The sequence below is a fragment of the Homo sapiens genome, chromosome 9 (assembly GCF_000001405.40).
Source record: "Homo sapiens chromosome 9, GRCh38.p14 Primary Assembly".
In the NCBI taxonomy this organism is placed as follows: domain Eukaryota; kingdom Metazoa; phylum Chordata; class Mammalia; order Primates; family Hominidae; genus Homo; species Homo sapiens.
In genome coordinates, this window is record NC_000009.12 from 107,112,268 (window position 1) to 107,132,630 (window position 20,363).

At 43.4% G+C, this 20,363-nt stretch overlaps 1 pseudogene, besides 3 other annotated features; it reads left to right on the forward strand.

The window, feature by feature from the left end:
• Positions 762-901: a silencer, noted in NCBI's record as "silent region_20155". NCBI's record gives its function as "represses an Ori minimal core promoter by ATAC-STARR-seq in GM12878 lymphoblastoid cells {active_cell/tissue: GM12878}" and the evidence as "EXISTENCE:reporter gene assay evidence [ECO:0000049][PMID:35858748]".
• Positions 4,485-5,640, forward strand: ACBD7P1 (APIP pseudogene 1; annotated as a pseudogene).
• Positions 18,116-18,930: an enhancer, noted in NCBI's record as "NANOG-H3K27ac-H3K4me1 hESC enhancer chr9:109892664-109893478 (GRCh37/hg19 assembly coordinates)". NCBI's record gives its function as "activates a minimal SCP1, AML or CMV promoter by ChIP-STARR-seq in naive and primed H9 embryonic stem cells {active_cell/tissue: H9 hESC(naive and primed)}" and the evidence as "EXISTENCE:reporter gene assay evidence [ECO:0000049][PMID:30033119]".
• Positions 18,931-19,743: an enhancer, noted in NCBI's record as "NANOG-H3K27ac-H3K4me1 hESC enhancer chr9:109893479-109894291 (GRCh37/hg19 assembly coordinates)". NCBI's record gives its function as "activates a minimal SCP1, AML or CMV promoter by ChIP-STARR-seq in naive and primed H9 embryonic stem cells {active_cell/tissue: H9 hESC(naive and primed)}" and the evidence as "EXISTENCE:reporter gene assay evidence [ECO:0000049][PMID:30033119]".

A 20,363-nucleotide genomic window follows, 5' to 3' on the forward strand; every position in this document is an offset into this window, starting at 1 on the left:
CTTAAGAAGCGAAGCCATCTAGCTAGTGTGAGGTGGGGCTGGGATGTGAACCTGTGTCTATCCGGCTCCTGGTCTCTGTGCTCCTTGCAACTCGGACAGCACACTGGCACACTGGCTCCCTTCCGTCTCCCCACACACACAACAGAGCTGTCCACCGCAAGGCTCAGAGCTCAGGCAGCCAGGCGGGCATCCTTTCACCTCTCTCCTCAGCCCATGAGTCTTTGGCTGTGCTGCTATTTTACATGGAGCCTCCTTTTCCCACCCAAATCCAGCTCAAGCTGCCTCCCTCATGACTCACCATCCAGAGGACTGTGAACTATGTCTCCCTGTCCTTCTCCAAATTAACCATCCCTCTCTAGTGACCCTTACCTCGCCTCCCTCATACTTTGGGATTTATACACATGTCTCATGTCCCCCAGTACTCTAGAGGCTCTGAGGTGGCATGACCATGTCTGATTTATTGCTACACTCCCAAGAAACATGGTCTGATACCTAGGAGATACATAAGAACTGTCCATGGAATGGAAGAATGAACAGATAGATGAGTAAATGAATGTACGTATGAAAAAGGGAATAAATGAGTGAATGAACTAATGAAATGAAAGTGAAAACCCATAGAGGATGGCAAGAATGCCAAGCAGCCATTATACAGAGTGATGAGATAGGATTCACTGCAAAGCATGCTGGAGAGAAGAAACACTGAGATTAAGATGATTCCAAAATGCAAATATGGCTGCAGGTCTAGGGAACTGAAAAACACTCTTTATGTCCCACTAGCCCCATGTTTCACTCTGGACTTACTTTATGGGGAAGTGGTATACTGGTTTCTGGAGCTCACTTTCATAAAGCCCTAGCCCTTCCTCCTGTTCATTAATAAACAGTTACAGGACAACAGCACTATAATAGGTAATAATTCTGGTGTACCCACCATGTGCCAGGCATTCTTCCAAGTACCTCATTCAATTCTCACAACAATAAGATGAGACATAGACTGTTATTTATCTGATTTTACAGATGAAAAAATGGAGGCTTAGAGAAGTCAAATACTTTTCTTAATGTCACTCATTTAATAAATGGCAGAACTAGAATTCAAACCCATGTTATCTGACTTCAGAGCCATCCCTCCTAATCACTCTCCCATCAAGCAGCACATTCCTATGGCCGGCTGGCTAGGAGACTAAGTTTCCATTCATTGAGCACTTGCTCTGTGATTCACCAAACATGCTGTAGACATTCAATCCACAATAACCTCATGACTGAAGGACCAGACCATTTTGATCCCCATTTTACAAACAAGGACACTAAGGTTTGTGTGACCAAGTGATGCCACTAGAAAATGACAAAGCTGGGATTTGAACCCAAGTTGGCTTATTCCAAAACCAATGCTGTTTACCACACTATTCTCTATCCCAGAAGAAGCACTCATTTTCTTTCTCCTTCAATAAATGGTCACGGGGTCCAAGAAAGAGACCTATATTTGAAATCAGGTTATTTGTGTTCCAGTCTTGGTTCTTCCACTTGGGTCTGTACCTTGGGCACGTCCTTTAACACCTCTGAGCCTCAGTTTCCTCATCCATCAAATGGAGCCAATCATGCCACATTACAGAATTATTGTGAGGGTTAAATGAGAAGCTAATGCTGATGAAAGCACTGTGTAAACTTTTTCTCTCTGAGGTAGAAAGAAGTCAATAGATATGATTATACTTCTCCTGGGAGTGAATAAAATGAGTCTCACAGAGATGAAGTGAGTAGTCTAACAATCTCACAGAGAGTCGTTCATTAGAGCAGGAATGAAGCCCAGATGTCCCTAGGCAGAAGTCCATGTGCCTTTTGCGAGGTGGCCAAGGATCATTATTTTGCACGGGTGAGACTCTGCCAGCCCCAGAGTGCTTCTTCAGTTTCGACGCACACCATCTTTCCCCCATCCTACACCTCCTTAGCTCTTTCTGGGCCCCTTGACAGTCAGGGTAAAAGTCTTTTTCCGTCTTTCCTAGGCTTAACTGTAAAATTATGTGGTCTTATTGTGTTAGAGAGTTCTACCCAGGATGAGCGATGCTGAGAGAAGGCAGCGTGAGCCTGGTCAGGCACGCTTGTCAAGAGCTTGAGATGCTCTGTTAATGAATGTCATTTTGGAGCTGGTTGGGATTAAGCCATTATCTGTGTGATCTTCACCTGACTCTTGATGGACCAAAATTCATACATTCCAATTCTGTGCTTAACTAGGAAGGCTTTACAGCTCCTTTCTCCTCTAGAATCTTTTCAATCTCCGGGACCTATTATGCAGCAATTTTGCTTTCTCCAATTTCATTTTCACTTTCAAAGTGAATGTCATTTGTCAGGCAAACCACATATTCTTTGGATCCCTATCTGCTAAATTATTTCTGAACTTGACTTTTTTGGGCCCCCATTCTGGCTGACCTAAATTCTTCTCTGTCTTCTACCATTTCTCCCTTCTCTCTGAAGGCAGCCATTTGTGGCTTCGTTGCCTAAAGAAGCTGTTTCTGGAAGCACTTATCTGTTACCCCAGTTGGAAAGTTATCATTTGTATCTAAATTAGCTAGTGTGATCTTTTATCTGAACTCCAGGCAGAGCTGATCCTTTGTATGAGAACTACCCATCAGGTTTCAGACCCATCTGCAGCATCATTCTCAGATGACTTACTTTGGAACTAAGATTTAAGTCTTCAGTGTTTCTAAATGTAAAGATTGTCAGTGTAGCCACTTTTCAAAAGAACTTGACACTCTCACAAGGGTGATACCTAAATCTCAATTAGGCCATCTCCTGCCCAAGCTCATCTCAGAAGCAATGTCATGCATGGACCCCTGGTGTTTCTGTCCTAATGTTGCCAACTGTAGACAGAATGCCTGATAGAGGGAAACAGTTCCACAGTAGCAAAGAATGATTTCATACAATTCACCTTCAGGGTTAGCAGCAAAGAGATTTTGCAATGAAATCGGAAATGTTAACACATGTCAAAAATGATCTCACAAGAGGGCTGGCAGCCTTGCTCTGCCCAATGTTGGACATACCATGGATAGAGCATTGGGCTGGAGTTTGAAGTACCCCAAATCCAGAGGACATGACCACATGTCAATTTTGCAGAGAATAACAAAGATCATGAAGAGGCCAAACTGCATAAAGGTTGGTTAAAAGAACTGGAATGTTTAGCCTGGAAAGGAGAGACTTTTGTGGGGATAAGCAGGGTGGAAAATTCTGTCTCAGACTCCTGTTTTATAAATTAGAAACCTGAGACTTAGCACAAACCCAGGGAATAACCAGAGTGAACATTTTAAAGAATAAATGAGATCACTTTGCTTTGCTGCCTAAAACCATCCAATGATTTCCCCACTGATGTTAGAATAAAGAGCCAGCCCCAAGCCATGGCCTCCAAGACCCCACATGGAGGCACTGGTCCCTCTGTGTTGGGTAGAGAATCAGTTAAGCTATACAATCAAGAGACTCCCAAATATCAGGTAGAAGTTTATTTCTCTACCTTGTTATACATGGCACCACAATTTGCAGACCAGGCCAGGCCTCAATAAGGTGCAGTTAACAGACACTGTCAGCTGACACTTCAGGAACATACCAGGGAATGAAAAGGAGACCCTGGCCTACTTCACATACATGATGAAGAGTAACAAGAAGAGACTGGATTAGAAACTGGAAGATGGTATGTAGCTCCAGTGACGATGAAGCACATCTTAAAGGAATGAAGCAGAATGCACAGGTGATATCTGCTACATTTCAGTCCATAAAGACTTTTTTTCCCCGTACATAGCTCACTATAACCTTGGACTCCTGGGCTCAAGAGATCCTCCCACTTCAGCCTCCTGAATAGCTAGGACAACAGGTGCATGACATGAGACCCGGCCAATTTTTTAATTTTTTGTGGAGACGGTGAGGGGGGTGGGGTGTCTCACCATGTTGCCCAGGCTGGTCTTGAACTCCCCACCTCAAGTGATCCCCCCATCTTGGCCTCCCAAAGTGCTGGAATTACAGGAGTGAGCCACCCCTTCTGGTCTGTTAAATTTTATTGTAAATAAAATAGTGTGAATAATGAAAATTAGTCACAGATGAGTGGTGAAGGGAAGGCAGGCAGTCTCTGTCATCCTTAGAAGGGAGCTTCTGTATCTGGGTGCAGGTGGCTCCTCCAAGCTCTTTCACTTTTCAGAGTCTGCTTAAGGGGTTCCTTGGGGCATCCGTTGCCCACCCTATCTAAATGAGCTTACCCAGCATATATTTTGTCTTAGCTCAGCATCCTGCTTGTTTCTTTCACAGCACTTACCACAATTTATACTTGTTTATTTATTTATTAGATTTAATTATTTTTATCTATCCTTCCTCCCCTTCCTACACTGCTAGACTGATAGTCTCCATAAGGGTAGAGTAGGAATCTTATATGCCTCATTCATTACTGTATTAGTTATCTGCTACTGCTTAACAAATTACCCCAATACAGAATAGCTCAAAATAATAAACATTTGGCTGCCTCATCCCAGGCTGAGCACCGCGCGCAAAGCCGTGCAGAGATTGGAGGCCGTGTGGGTCCCTGGTCTGGGCCATGTCTGGCTGTGACGCCCGGGAGGGAGACTGTTGTTCCCCGAGATGCGGAGCGCAGGACAAGGAGCATCCAAGATACCTGATCCCAGAACTTTGCAAACAGTTTTACCATTTGCGCTGGGTCACTGGGACTGGAGGAGGAATTGGCTTGAGGCATGGCGGTGAAATCTACATTGCTCCTTCAGGAGTGCAAAAGGAACGAATTCAGCCTGAAGACATGTTTGTTTGTGATATAAATGAAAAGGACATAAGTGGACCTTCGCCATCTAAGAAGCTAAAATAAAGCCAGTGTACTCCTCTTCTCATGAATGCTTACACAATGAGAGGAGCAGGTGCGGTGATTCATACCCACTCTAAAGCTGCTGTGATGGCCACCCTTCTCTTTCGAGGATGGGAGTTTAAAATTACCCATCAAGAGATGATCAAAGGAATAAAGAAATGTACTTCTGGAGGGTATTATAGATATGATGATATGTTAGTGGCACCCATTATTGAGAATACACCTGAGGAGAAAGACTTCAAAGATAGAATGGCTCATGCAATGAATGAATACCCAGACTCCTGTGCAGTACTGGTCAGACGTCATGGAGTATATGTGTGGGGGGAAACATGAGAGAAGGCCAAAACCATGTGTGAGTGTTATGACTATTTATTTGATATTGCCGTATCAATGAAGAAAGTAGGACTTGATCCTTCACAGCTCCCAGTTGGAGAAAATGGAATTGTCTAAGCCAAAAGAAAGTCTAATTATATACAGAGATAAAGTTAAACATAATTATTATTTAAATGAAAGCTATTTTTTTAAATGAATTGAAATTTTTCATGACGCTACTAATTTGCCATTAAATACTGCAAATGGTCACCCTGAATCTCTTCTGACATTGGATGTTATTTGCTTATATTCTTATAATTTTAAATGAGGGGACAGTGAAATGAAAATTTTATACTCTATGTTTCTGTTTATTTTTAAATCCTTAACAGCAAAATATTTGCCTTTAATTTCTTTTTTATATATACTCTCAGAGAATTCCTCTTAATTTTTAAAGATGCTGGTGATAATAAAATTCATTGGAAAATTTCAAAAAATAATAATAATGATAATAAACATTTATTATCTCACAGTTTCTGTGAGTCAGGAATTTAGAAGCAGCTTTTCTGGATGGCTTTGGATTGGAGTCTCTTAACATCAAGGAAGATGTCAGCTGGGACGCAGTTATCCAAAGGCACAGCTGGGGTGGAAGGATCCAAAAAGGCTCACTCACCTGGTGCTGGTTGTCAGCAGAGGCCTCGGCTCCTTTCCACAAGGAGCCTCTCCAAGCACTGCTTGAGCATCTGCACAACATGGAAGCTGGCTTCTCCTGGAGTAAGCACTGCAAGAGAAAGCAAGGCAGAAACCACAGTGTCATTTATGACCCAGTCACGGAAGTCGCACACTATGATTTCTGCACTATCCTATTGGTTACATAGGTCAGCCCCATTCATTGTGGGAGGGGATCACACATGGATGTGAATGTCAGGAAACAGGGATCACTGTGGGCCATCTGGAAAGCTGGCTACCACAACTACTCTTTCCCTTAGCAGCCAGTGTCATGCTGGCAAATGGTAGGCACTTAATATATGTTGGCTCGATGAATGAGTGAAGGGGGACAGCTCAAGTCAACTCGATATTATCAAGATTAGTAGCTGGAGTCAGCCTTGAAATCAGGTTTTCAGTCTCTTAGTGCTCTCTCCCTATACCACACTGTCTTCTTTATGACTTCTCCTACCATGTGCCCCCTTTTCCAATACTCGGACACACCGCCTTATCTTTCCCAGCCTGTACCAGCCTGTACACAACCTGATAATGGCTCATCTGGCAAAAAAAAAAAAAGAATCATGCATTACTGAAATATGTCTTTGCTTTAGTACCTGGAGGAGAAAGCAGGGCCCTGGGAGGGGATGTGAGGGCCTGACAGATGCCATAAGCAGCATTTGAGAGTCTAAGGCAGCGGTTTTGAAACCAGCATGCGGGAGACTCAGCAGGGAGTTTGGTAATGCGTCCAGGTTAGAACCCAAGAATCTTCAGTTAGGCAGGTTTGTGGGGAGTTCTGATTGCTGGTGGGTGAACAAACAATCCCACTCCTCCAGCTCTTTTGTACCACTGGGGTCACGCTTCTGGAGGGTATCTGTGGAGGGGTGGAGTTGGAGAGACAAATCCCAACCATAAACCTGTCAAGGTAAGAGGATTCACACAGGCTCGCTAGGAAAGAGACAAGGGGAGCGTGGGTGGAGGTGGGTGGGGATGGGATGTGGGGTGGTAAGAGCAACAGGGCAAAGGTTCCTTAGTAGTGCGTTTGTGTAACATTGGAGTGCTGTTTCTTAGGTTTTTTTTTTCTTTTTTCTTTTTGCAGGGGCTGTGTGTGTATGTAAGTTAGCTCCTTCAGTATCCAACTGGGAATTTGATTCATTTAACTTGTTCAGAATCAGTTGCAATAAACCAGGTGGTTTTGCATTGCTCATGCAAATCACTTTCTCCTCACACATGGCTACAGTCCCAGCTGCCAAAATGTTGTCATGTTCTTGTCTTCAGAGCCTTAATAAGAAGAAAAAATACAGTCTGGAGTGTATATGTGCTCAACACTCTCCCTGGTTATCACTGAGCCTCTGTGGCCACTACTAAGCTGTCAACAGCTAGTTAGCTCTTCCTGAGCCAGAAGAAGAGGCGTGGGGCCATGGGTGAACTAAAGGGCCAGGAGCTCCAGCTGTCTAGGCCACAGATTCCACCAACTACTCCATATATCTCTTATTAAAGCCACAGAACCTTGGGTATGAGGACTAAAATCCCAAATTCTGCTTCTGTCTTTGTATTTCTGACTAGATTTGGCCTCAAACCAATGGTATCATGGTTCTCTAATTCTTATGAGAAGCAGGTGAGGCAATCAGAGTCACAATTCCCAGTTGATTTTCTTTCATGGTGCAGAAAAAGACAATATTGGGAGTAAATATAAAAGATTATTTGTGACCAAAAAATGACCTCTAGAGAGTTCTGACGACCCAGCCTCTGTTCATCGACCCCGTGGCTAAAGAATCAATATCTCCATGGTAAACTGGTTGACTACACACCCACAGTAGTGGCCCTTCCAGAGAGACAATTATACTTCCTCATGCCGTGGACTCATATGTAGCCATGCGTCTTGCTTTGGCCAATGAGATGCAAGCAGAAGTGACATGTCACTGCCAGGCGGGATCTTCAGGAGCCAGAGCACATTCCGCCTTGCTCATTACTTCTGCTGCAGGGACTAGCAAAGCTCCAGATCATCTTGGAGTAGAGACAGTTTGCAGCAGAGCCACAGCCAGCTTACAAGAGGCCTATCAGATGAGCAAGGAACGAACTTCTTTTGTTTTAAGAGTTAGGGGGTCATTGTTCCCACAGTAAAACCTCTCCCATCCTGACTGTATGGTGGCACAGCTAATGGGATCCTTTGACCTCAAGGACAGCTCTTGCTAACTGGAGAGTGCCACAGAAATGTTGGTCACCCACATGTGCAAGCACAGTCAGACTATAATTCATTTGTTTGAGTTTCTATCATCTCTGTCCTCTTTGGGGTTTGTCTTTATCCCAGGCTAGTAAAGAGACGACTGGAAATTCCAGTTATCATATTCATATAAAAAGAGATGGCTCTTTCTGTGTCTCTTTCAGAGAGAATTAAAATTTCACAGAAACTGTTGGATCTTCTGTAGCATACAATCATAATTAAGACAAAAAGCATGGCTGTGGAGTCCCACAGTCTAGGTTCAAATGCTGACTCTCTCATATAGTGGGTGATTTCAGATAACGGAGAAAATCTCAGTTTCCACATCTGTAAAATGGGAATAACAATAAGGCTTCACTCAGTGGCTCACTGCAATACGTGTAAGGGTTTTTGGTCTGGCACCTGGCACATCGCTCATACTCTGTTCATGCTAATAGTGGACGTCTGACATGCTCATGTTCTCTCATCCTATAGCTTTTCATTAGAAATCTTTTAATATTATGAGTCCCACCTTAGTCTCCCTTGCAGCAAATTTATCTGCTGCAGTCAACCTTGACCCAGAATTGTACAGGGAAGGAAAGTCTGAAAAGCCCACGTCCAGCTTAGCTGAGTTGACACAAAACACAGCTATCACAGGCTGGAACGGTAGGTTAGGCTGTGCGGCCAAAACAGGGATTTTGAGGGGACAGACTAAAGTCTTAGAAAGTTTCTGTTTTATTTTTAAGTACGAGGGGCTTGATCAGATTTGCATTTAAAAGATCTCTTCGGTGTCAGGGTAGAGAATGGATTGGCAGGTGGGAGACAGGAAGCAGGAAGAACTGATTGTTGCAGTATTCTGTAATTTTTTCTAAGGTGTGCTTGAAATCCTTGTGGAAGAAGCTGAGATGAGAATCCAAAAGCAAACAAATGCTAGGGTAATTTCAGTTCTAATTATCTATGATATGATACAAACATGAAATATATGTACACATATCAGATTAGGATACTTCTTTTTTTCAAGAGACATTCAATCCACTTAATTAGTTTCCCAAAATGTGATACTGGTATTGATTTAATTCTGAAGTTTTTCCACTGGCAATGTAAGTGTGTAAAATGATCAGAATAAGTCACTTATATTTTCTCCTCATATGCAGGGTAAAATAAAAGCTGTGAAGGACTGATTCTACTTGCCTAGAACCAAAGAGCATGAATTTAGTTCCCAAAAAATACCTTCAGAAGTAGGACAGAAGGAAACACTCACCCATGGAACACGCCTTGGCACTGATTGTCCGTGGGCTCCCCTTGGTCTCTCAGCCTTTTTTGTGACTGCTTGGACAAGTGCATTTAGTTCTGGCCAATGGACTGTGAACAGAAGTGACATGTCCCAGTCTGAGCTGAGGCAGCTTGGGGCTGTGGTGCCTTCCTCAGTTTTCTCTTTCCTACCGTGGTGACTCGGAGGCCACGCGTTCCAGGTTCCCCATCACAAATTTCAGGACCCTCAAAATCAGTTTCTCATCTGCAAAATGGGAATAATAATGTCTATTTTACAGGGTTGATAGGAGGAGTTAAAAAGGTCTCCCAGGGGAAAACCTGTAGCACAGTTTCCAGCACACAAAAGGCATTCAGTACCTGAACCGTATATTGCCACGTCCTCAGAAGGGAAACTCCCTACAGATAATGGTGAAGGACTCAGCACCAGGAAATTGCCTTGCAGGACACATACAGCCTTTAAAGTTTTCTTTGTATGTAATAAGAACACTTAACTTCAGATCTACCCTCTTAACAAATTTTAAATACAGCAACGTTAACTATAGGTGCAATGCTATACTGCAGATCTCTAGAACTTAATCATCTTGCATAACTGAAATTTTATACCCATTAAACAAAAACTCATCTTCCCCTGCCCCAGTCTTTGGCAACCACCACTTGACTCTGTTTCTATGTGTTTAACTATTTTTGATCCCTCATATAAGTGCAATTAGACAGTATTTGTCCTTCTGTGACGGCCCATTTCACTTAGCATAATGTCCTCAAGATTGAGCCATGTTGTAGCATGTGGCAGGATTTCCTTCTTTGTTGATACTGAATAACATACAGCCTTTTGATAGTGATCAGAGAGAAATTTGCGTTTTCTATTCTCTTAAATCCTTCATGTTTAGCTTAAAAATTATACACGTAATTTATGTTAGTGATAAAAAAACTTGGAAAATACATATAAATCGTAAGCGGGGGGAAGAAACCTCATAATTTTGACAGCAGAGATACTTGATGTTTTAGATGTGTCATTCCATATAGATAAGTACCTATAATCGCTTATTACACAGCTGCATAGTATTTCATTGTGTGGACATAGCCCAGATTGTAGGTGGTTTCCAAATTTTTGCTATTGCAATCAATACTGTGATCTTCAATGCTGAAATAATCACAAGGCAAAGTTTTATTAGCTCTGCTATCTAATTCCTTTCCCCACTTCTAACTCTCCTGTTTGTCCCTAGTATAAATAATTAAAATGTTTTCCAGTCATACCTTTCTAATTATTTATTAATGGTTCCTAAGTCAAAAGATCATTGCTGGGATTAATTACAACAGAGACACTTGTTCGCACAAACCTAATCCTCATTTCCTATCAGAAACTACGCATGAATCTACAGACTGAACTTCACAGACCAGACTGATCTTTTACAACAAACAGATGCCAAGCAGGATCTTCTTTGGTATGGAGAGAATTACATCATTACTTAATAATTTAGACAGGAGAAAATTAGCTCCAAAATAAGGGAATTTGGGTATAAAAGCAGTTTGCTAAATTATTAGCAATGCTGCAAAGCAGAAGGAGTATGAGCTTGGAGTCAGACAAATGAGATTGTTTGACCCTAATCCTTATTTGCCGTGTGCTCTTGAGCAATTTACTGAAGTTCTCTGGGCCCCAGCTTCTTTATAAAATACTTAACTAATATCTATGCAGGGTGGTTCTAAAGATTAAAATAATAATAAAGAACATCAACTACATTTTTACCATACATTAACAGAGAAAGAAAGTAAACTCCCATTTTTTCCATGCAGAAAGCCACAGAAGGGCACCAGGAGTGACATTTTCCTCCTTGATGGTTAAGACATGGAGAATGGCTAGAGTCAAGGTCTCCAACTAAGAAGCAGCTGTCTCTTAGTCCAATTCTATCTTTGATATCTCAGACCAACAGAGTTCTCCACTAATAGAATGGCCAAAGAATTTACATCCACATTGAGACACTTTTGAGATGTAACTGGGGCACTGTAAATAGTTACCAGGAACAACAGGTGTGAACTTGACCTCTTCCAGGCAGAGTGGCCACCCTAGTATTAACCAAGTAAGGACCAGTCTATATAAAGCAAGTGGGGAAATCAGGTCACTTCATTTCAAAGTACTCATTAGAGCTGTTGCAGTTATTCCCATGTGACTGAGAAAAAAACAATTAAGTCAGACACAGACTGCAGTATGCACAAAGTTTATTTGACCTGTCCAGAACAACATTTAGCACCATCTCTTTGAATGACCATTCTGTTATTAGTGTTCTTCTAGGAGCTAAGCAAACTTCTTTCTCTCTCCCATAAATCTTCATGTGTAATTTTATAAGATTTGTGGCTTTTTTCTATTTATTTTACATTTTTACACATTGAGTATATGCCAAGCTCTAGCCTAAATTTACTGGAACTACAAAGATGGGTGAGCCATAGTCTCTGCTTTCAAAAAAACTCACAGTTAAGCCAGGGAGACAAATGAGGAAGCCATTAACAAAAATAGACAATGTTATCAATTCCGACATGGAAGTGTGTGCAAGCACTATGGAACACAGAAAAGAGGGTGATTAACTCTTCTCTAGAAAGTATCACTGAAGTGGTCATGTTTGAGACAACTCAAATAACATTTTCTAAGTGAAGAAGTGTGAGAAGTACCTTACATGTGCAGGGTTCAGGAAGCTTGAGAGTGTGAGATGTGTGAGGATCTGTTCCACCTGCAGTGTGGCTGGAGCTTACTGTGAAAGAGGGTGAAGCATTGGTTTCTAAAGTCTCTCTGGGTTCCTACAGTCCTCCCCAGCAGTGAAAACCAAAACTGAGCAGTCTCCTAGCTCCTGCCACCTCTTCAACAGAACTTCCAATGGCCCTAGGACTTCAATACATTTTCTTTGAACTTCCTTAATAGTAATGTTACTGTCTCTCTCAATATCTTAAAGTGTGTGTTTTCATGAATGTGATGCTACATGTCCACTAAACTCTACCAGATTTTTGCCATGTTTTTGTACTAGTGAAAACTTTGTGAATGGACGCCATGCTCTGACCTTTAAAACACTCTTGTGTAATTGATTTTTAGATGAGTTTTTCCTTACAGGATTCAAAACTGGTACATTCATATGGGAAACCAATGTAAAACCAACACCCTCTACTGAGTTTGCATCCTTTTATAAGTGTTTTTCTGCTATAATTTCAGTAGGGTATTAAAAAAATGTGATTCTAAATAATTCTGACCTCTTTAGGAAGACAACAAATGGTGTATTTGATTCAAAGCATTTCCCATGGTTGTTTAAAGACAAGTAAGAAAATGAGTAGTCCAGCCATATGGAGATGGGATAACTCAAAGGCAGGCCCATCTCAGAGGGCCCATTCACTCAGCAGCAGACAGAGTGTTCTAACAGAGGAGAGCAGGGTGAGGAGAGAGCCCTTGGGTTTGAGGTTAGAGGGAAGAGATGGAAGGTTGTCCAAGAGTTTTACAAATGGGCCTCTATGAGCCTCTATTAGGCTTCTTGCTTTATAAGTAACAGAATCTCAATTTAAACTAGGCTCAAGAAAAAGAATCCTTTTTAAATGATCCACTCGTTATCTTAGCTGAAAAATTCTGAGGTAGGACTGATCAGACATGCGTGAATATAGATACTCAAAGGATATCGTTGCAATGTATCTGTATCTCTCAGCTCTGCTTTCTTACTTGTCACCTTCATTCTCAAGCCACTTCTCCTATCATGCTGACAAAATGGCGGCTCACTGGTTCATAACTCTACAGCTCAGCAAGCTTGGTGGAAAGAGAGCTTCTCTTTGCCAAAAGTTTCAATGAAGTCCTCGGATTGAGTCTCATTGAACCAGCCTAGGTCATGTGTCAGAACCTGAACCAATCACCACATGCAGGGCATGAAATAAGCTGATGGGCCAGGGCTGTGTCATCCCACATCTTAGATGAGGGGTGGAGGGTAGGAGTCAGGCAACTCCAACTGGGCTGGTGGGCTGAGCTACAGAGAGTAGCAGCTCACCTATGGTGATGAATGGCTCACTCTTTCCCAAGTCTGTTTCTCTTCTCCCTAATTACACATTCTAATGATAGTTCCTAGCCTCTTGACACGTGTGACCATGTAACTGGGGTCCAATGAGTGGAAAGTGAGGAAAAGTAATATGTATTGCCTCTAGGCCCATCAAACTTTGCAAGCTGTGAATGAAAGATAGCAGAAACACAAAATCGAAAAGAAGTCTAGGTCCCTAAATCTTTACCACATGGAGGAAAACTGCCCACCAAACATCCATTGTGAATATTCTATCATGTTGAAAACATTATACATTTTGCGAATTTGTTATAGCAGCTAACATTATCTTCACTAATAAGGAACAAATTAAAAAAAAAAAGACATTTGTAAACTGAACAGGCAAAACAGCTCATGTCTACTACAAAGCTTCTATGCCTTTAGTGCTGAAGATTTCAGACACCCTGATGGGTTTAATCAGTCAGTTACCATGGCTTGATGGAAGCACTGGTCAAAGAGTCAAAAGATAGGGTTCAAAAGACTCTGCTACTGATGACTGTGTGACCCCAGGCATGTCACTTCTCTCTGACCTTCATTTTCCTCATCTGCAAAATGGCAACTGCAATATCTGCTTGACTGCTTGACTGTAAGAATCAAATACAATTATGTGAGTTTGAGTGTGATGTAGACTATATAAAGCCCTGGGCTGGCCTGTAAACAAACCAATAACCTGACGCTGTCAGAAGCAATGAAAAGCATGCGGATTTGCCCAGTTGGTCAGAGCAAAGCATTAATGAGTCTATTTGGTCTCACACAGAAAAATATTTTGTCTCGTTCATAGAACCATAAAAATTAGCACCAGGCTAGGCTTTAGGAAGAAAAACCTAAGCAAGATATATAATACATCCTACCTTGGGGAGAGAGACAGCACAGCTGTGACCGAGTCTGCTATAAGACAAGCTTGAAACCTTCCTCCCTTCTCACCATTTTCTTCCATTCTCACTCAAATCCTACCCTCTATACTCAGAAGTTGGCTTCTTTGTTTGTTTATGTCTTCCTAAACTAGTCACTCCTCAGGCTTCCTCCCCTTCTCTCTTGAACCAGTAAAATCCAGTCTAGTCCACCTGCCACAAGGCTGCTGAGCAATCCTTCCAAAACACAATCATTCCATTTCTCTGGGCCTAGAAACTTCTGTTTGTTATCCTGCATTCAAGATGCATGGAATTCTTTTACCATAGCTTTCAGGACCCCTAACAATCTGGTCTCAACCTACCCTTTCTAGTCTTATTTACCCCCAGTCCAGGTCAAACAGACCTCTTCTCCACTCATTTCCTGGGTACCCCAGCTGCTTTCGAGACTTTTATCTCTGCCTGGGAGTTCGGAGGTCCAGGCAGCAAATGGAGATAAGGAAGCTCACAAACTCAGAGCTGGAGACATAGATTGGGAATATCTCTATAAAAGGAAGAGCTGAAAGCATAGAGCTGGTGAGCTCAGTGGGCAGTACAGGTGGGGAAGAGAAGGGAAGAGGAGCCTCGAGGAAGTCAGGGAAGGGGGAGGGAGGGAAATCTCGGGTAGACTGGTGTATGAGGAGGCACTGTGAGTGGAAGAAGGAGGCTCCAAGGCAGAGGAAGAACACAAAGACATTGGTGTGGGAGGAGAAATAGAAGCAGGAAGCAGCACAGAGCCCAAGGAAGGAGACAGTGACAAGAAGGAGGGAGGATGACTAGCATCAAATACTGCAGGGAGGTAGGCAGGTAAGGAGAGAGAAGAAGTCTCACTGGTTTGGGCTAGGAGAGAGTCAGAATTTTTTTGTTGGAATAACTGAGGCAGGAGCCAGGAGGCAGTGGGTTCAGGAATGAAGAGGAGATAAGGAAAAGGAGGCAATGGAAGGAGCTGACCTTTCAGGAAGACTGGCTTAAGGTTACTTGGGTCAGCTCTCTAAAAAGCAACCCACTGTGGCTGGCACTGTGGTGCTGGGGGTTGCAGGGAGTCACTGTCTGCCTTATCCTGTGGAGATTTCAGCAGCCACTACCTGTTTCTGATGGCCCAGCCAGGCTGCTGTAGCATGAGCTGTTTTTCACCATCATTTGAAAGGAACCTAACAATGGGTGCTGAAATCTCATGTGCTGCAAAGCGCCTTCCTCCTTCACCGCCACCTCCTCCTTCACTCACGTGGCTCACAGATATCTTCCATAGAGAGCCTCCTGGAGGCCACTTCACACAACTTGCTAACGTAGAAGCCATCCCTGGTGAAGACCATGGACAGAACTCATCCTGAGCACAGGACTTCAGAGGATCAAAACATGGTTCCTCTAGGCTGCAGGTCTGGACCTTCGACAAGTCACATCTCCTGTTGAAGCCTCAATGTCTTCCTCTGTCAAATAGGAACAACAGGTTTTTTGTTTAACCTTAGAAGATAAAGTCAGAAAATGGATGTTAAACCTCACAGAAAATTGTAAAGCTTCCCTGGAGGGCTTGTTATTAACAATGTTCTTCTGATCATGAAAGTGCACATTTGCCTGGAGTTTCCCAGACATGTCATCCTCAACTCCTCTCTTTCTCCCATAACCTGCAGAAAAAATCCTGTTAGCTCTACCTTCTACATACACCATGCTTCCAACCATTTCTCTCCACCTCCCCCACGATCACTGCAGCCCAAGCCATCATCATGGCTCTCTTGGAAAATTGCAATAGCTATGCAGCTAGTTTGGGGACTTACGATGCCGCATTCCCACAGCCTCTTTTCCCTCAAAGCAGTCAGAATGGCCTTTTCCAAAATGTAGCCATCACAGCATCCTTCCCTCAAAACCCTCCAATGGCTTCTCACTGTGTGTGCAAAATAATCTCAAGTCCCTGCTATGCCCTAAAAGGCCCCTGCCCGGTGACCTGCCTTCCGCTGTTCAGAAGCTTCTTGCAGTTTCATGACCACACCATGCTTGTCCCACTCCAAGGCTTCTGCTTTGATGTGGGAGCCACTCCCTTATTTTATATCATGCAGGTCTTCACTCAGCCTCTTCAGAAAGGTCTCCCCAACTATGTTATTTCAAAGCCCTGCTTCCCAGCATGCCAGCCCCATCCGCACCTCAACTCCTTCCCTCTTCATCCCATTATCCTATTTTATTTGTCTTTGCAGAACATTGACGTCATGTTTGCATGTGTTAGTTTCATATCTAACTCCCCCAATGAAATGCAACTTTTGTTAGGACAAGGACTTGCTTCTGTCCTGTTATCCTCAGCACCTAGAACAGTGCCTAATAGGTCGCAGGCCCTGAATAAGTATCTATTGCATGAAAGAATGAATGAAGAAGTGTTCTTCCCACATTTGTCTAGCGTGGCAGTGTCCTAAATTCTGTCCATCTCACTCCACACAGCCCAGCTCCCTATACCAGTAGATGGCTTCCCTCTGAGCCCCTCATCCTGGCAATCTTGACTCCTTGAAAGGGAAGGAAAAGAGCTGTTTGCTTAATTTGATCGAAAGAACTGCTTTTCACTAGTATGGGTGGAACCTTTTGAGTGGCAGCAAAAGGTACAATCTTTATTTATCTTTTAAAATATGACTCTAGTAAGATGTGAATACATTCTCATTGTAAAATATTCCAACCCAGTTGTATACAGAGTAACAAAATTCCTTCCCCTTTTCACACATGCCAACGCCACTCCACATCCCCACCAGACACTACTATCTAATGTTTCCTTGAAGACCCTTTCTTTGCACTGATACGTACTTTGTAGAGAGATACATACAAATTCCCTTTGAAAGAATGGTGTCACACTATGTCTTGTGCTGCAACTTACTCTTAGCAATACACTTTATGGATCTTTGCTTCTCAGTTCACCTAGAACTATGTTCTTTTTAGTGGCTGCCTGGTACTTCTTGGTACAGATGCAATCGAACTTTCTTTAATGCAGTGTGGAAGGAATAGATAGGCCAGCTCTTATTTTTGGCTACTACAAACACTGCTACAACCAACTTCCTTGTTCACACAATGCAGTACACATCAATATGTCTGCAGGAAAGATACCTAAAAGACAAAGAAACAGTCTCAATCATATTCATGAACAGTTAAAAATAGAAATAATTATACTATAGAATAATCTTTTATCAAGAGACCAATCAATAACTCAATTTTCCAAAGAGCGACTATTGAATATAATGATAGGGGAGAGGGAATTTACACTTAATAAGGGCCTCCAAAGTTTTCCATGGGTATTTCACATCCAACCTTACAAGCACCCAGCAGAGTGGGTATTGTTTGCCCTGTGAAACTGGAAGAAACTGAGGCTCAGAGCATGGAGGTGCCACACCCAAAGCCCCCAACTATTAAGTGGCAGAGCCGTGACCCAAACCCAGGCCTGTTTGCAAAGCCCACTATTTTTGCAGTACACCACGGGTTTTCCTTTTCAGCCTCCTCTTTCTGTTCAATAGAAAAAAAAAAATGTGCCATGAAACTTGCTCATCTGCAATCACTCATTCCAATTCACCTGTTGTCTCACCTAAAAACTACCCTCCTGCTTCACGGCTCATCATTAAAACAAGAGGACCATCGGAAGGGTGTGCACCCTCACAGAAAATTCCCTCTGTATCCTTTCTTAGGAGACAGAAGAGAGGCCTCTTTTTGAGGCTGTCTCCTACCTATGAGAACACATTCGTACTGTCTCAGCTTCAGCTGGTGACTGGGACTTCTGAGAGTTCTGCCCTGTCCTGGAGCAGGGAGTGTAGAGGAAAGGGGTCCCTTAGAACCTGCACGTTTAGCCAGTGCAAGCAAACAATTTCTCAGTATCAAAGGATGCTCCAAGATGTCTGGATAGCTTTACTCTCAAATGAATAAAAGAAAACAGAAAAGGTGGCTGGGCTTAGTGGCTCACACCTGTAATCCCAGAACTTTGGGAGGCATAGGCAGACGGATTGTTTGAGGCCAAGAGTCGAGACTGGCTGGACAACATGGCGACACCCCATCTCTACTAAAAATACAAAAATTAGCCAGGCGTGGTGGCACAAGCCTGTAGTCCCAGCTACTGGGAAGGATGAGGCCGGGAGAATCACTTGAGCCTCATCAAGAGGTGGAAGTTGCAGTGAGCCGAGATGGCACCGCTGCACTTTGTCTCAAAAAAAAAAAAAAAAAACAGAAAAGGCAAGGGGGGGGGCCAAACGTTCACCCATGAAGACTGTCTGGGGGACAAAAGCAATTCAAAGGAAAAAAAACTAAATTGTAGATGATTACGCAGAAGCATGGGTCATGGATTTAAGAGAACCCAGCGTGACAGGGCTGGAAGGGGCCTGAAATATCTGCCTGTCCAACATCACGTCCACAGCTCGGGTGTCTTCTGCAGCACACAGGCCTCACTGACAGGGAGCACATGACGGCCCCAAGCACCAAGGTCTGCCTTTGCACATCCCCGCCTGTTCGGGAGCTCTTCCTTCTGGTAGTCTAAAACTGACCTGCCTTTCCTTCCACCTCCTTAGCCCCAGGTCTACTCCCTTGAGACCCCACTGAACAAGCCCAGTCTTGCCTCTCAGAGACAGCCCTTCCAACCCTGAGAAATGCCCCAATTCCCCAGCGTCTGTGACACCTTCACAGCAGGTCTGAAGGAGCTGCAGGATAGAAGCTTTCTTAACAAACAGGTCTAGCCTTTCTGGTTAGGAGAGCTGTCTGGACAAAGAAAACCAATCCCACTTGTCTTTTGAATCTGCAGCCAGATGGGGAAGCAACAATAGCCCCAGGAGAAGTGGGGGAGGACCTGCCTCTTCACATCTTAATGAAGGTGTGAACTTTGAAGCTTTATTATGAACACTTGAAAGCTTACCCCTGGCTAAGCTCCTTTCAGCTGCTCACTGTCACCCTGGATAATGAGGCCGCAGCTGTGTGGGAAGCACTGGGGCAGGAGACGGGGAGACCCAGAGTTATCTGGAGGCAGGAGCCTCGCAAGCCCTGGCAGAAAAGCCACCCTTGGCTGTGGGCACTGCCCCGTGACCAGGCCCTGGGGACTTTCAGGGACAAGGAACTCTCTGTTCAAACCAAAGGAGGGCAGTAACCCCATTAGGGACAGGAGAAAGGCCTGGAGAGTCCTATTCTTTTTTTTTAACCTTCTAGGTAATAAAAATAATGACTCACACCTGGAGGGCACCTTACATCATCACCTCATTTAGATTCACAGAAAAGTCTCTGTGGGGCAAAAAGGACAGTGGCACAGAGAAGACTGTGACCCTGCATGAGGTCACTTGGCCCGTAAGTGGCAGGTCAACCAGTTCCAACCCCGATTTTTTTCCATCCCATAACTGTCACTTTCCTTGAAGCCTTCAGGTCGAGTCTTGAGGTATCCACTAAAATATCAAAACATGATTAGTATGCAAACAACAAAAGAATAGTCGACATTGAGTCCTTTTTATGTCCCTAGCACTGGTGTGATTTAATCCTCGCAACAACCAAATCAGGTAGGTATTATTACAGACAGGGAAACAGATGCAGACAGAAGTGACTTACCCAAGGTCACACAGCCAGCAAGTGGCCAGGTCACATTTGAACTGCAGCTTTTTTAGAAGCGTATTTCACTTGTCTGCATTGTGACTATAATACCTGCTTATTATAGAAACTGAGAAAATCCAAAGACAGAGAAAAAAAGAAAATCAAGGCCCCATTGCCAAAACATGTGTGTTATATTCACCTCCTGGCTTTTTCTCTAGGCACTTACATTTTACACGTATTCATTCAATATGCATTTCTTGAGTGCCTGTTGTGTACCAAGCACCATTCTGGATACTGGGGATTCAAAGGTGAACCAGAACAGCAGGTCCCTGTCCTCAGAGGTTGACATTCTAGGGCCGCCTTCCTGTGTATTTCAGTGGCCCTCATCAACTGCCTGGATCCCAGGCTTTCTCCCGCAGAACTGCCCTCATATAAAGTGCCAGAGGGCTCTAACCATAGTTTAAAGGGCACCAAGACTCATGTGACATCTACCCGACATCTACGTGCTCAGTGTCTCTGTGCCAGTCGCCAACACAGCAGCAAACAATAAAAGTGCTGGACTTCCTTCTTTCTTGCTCTCAGTT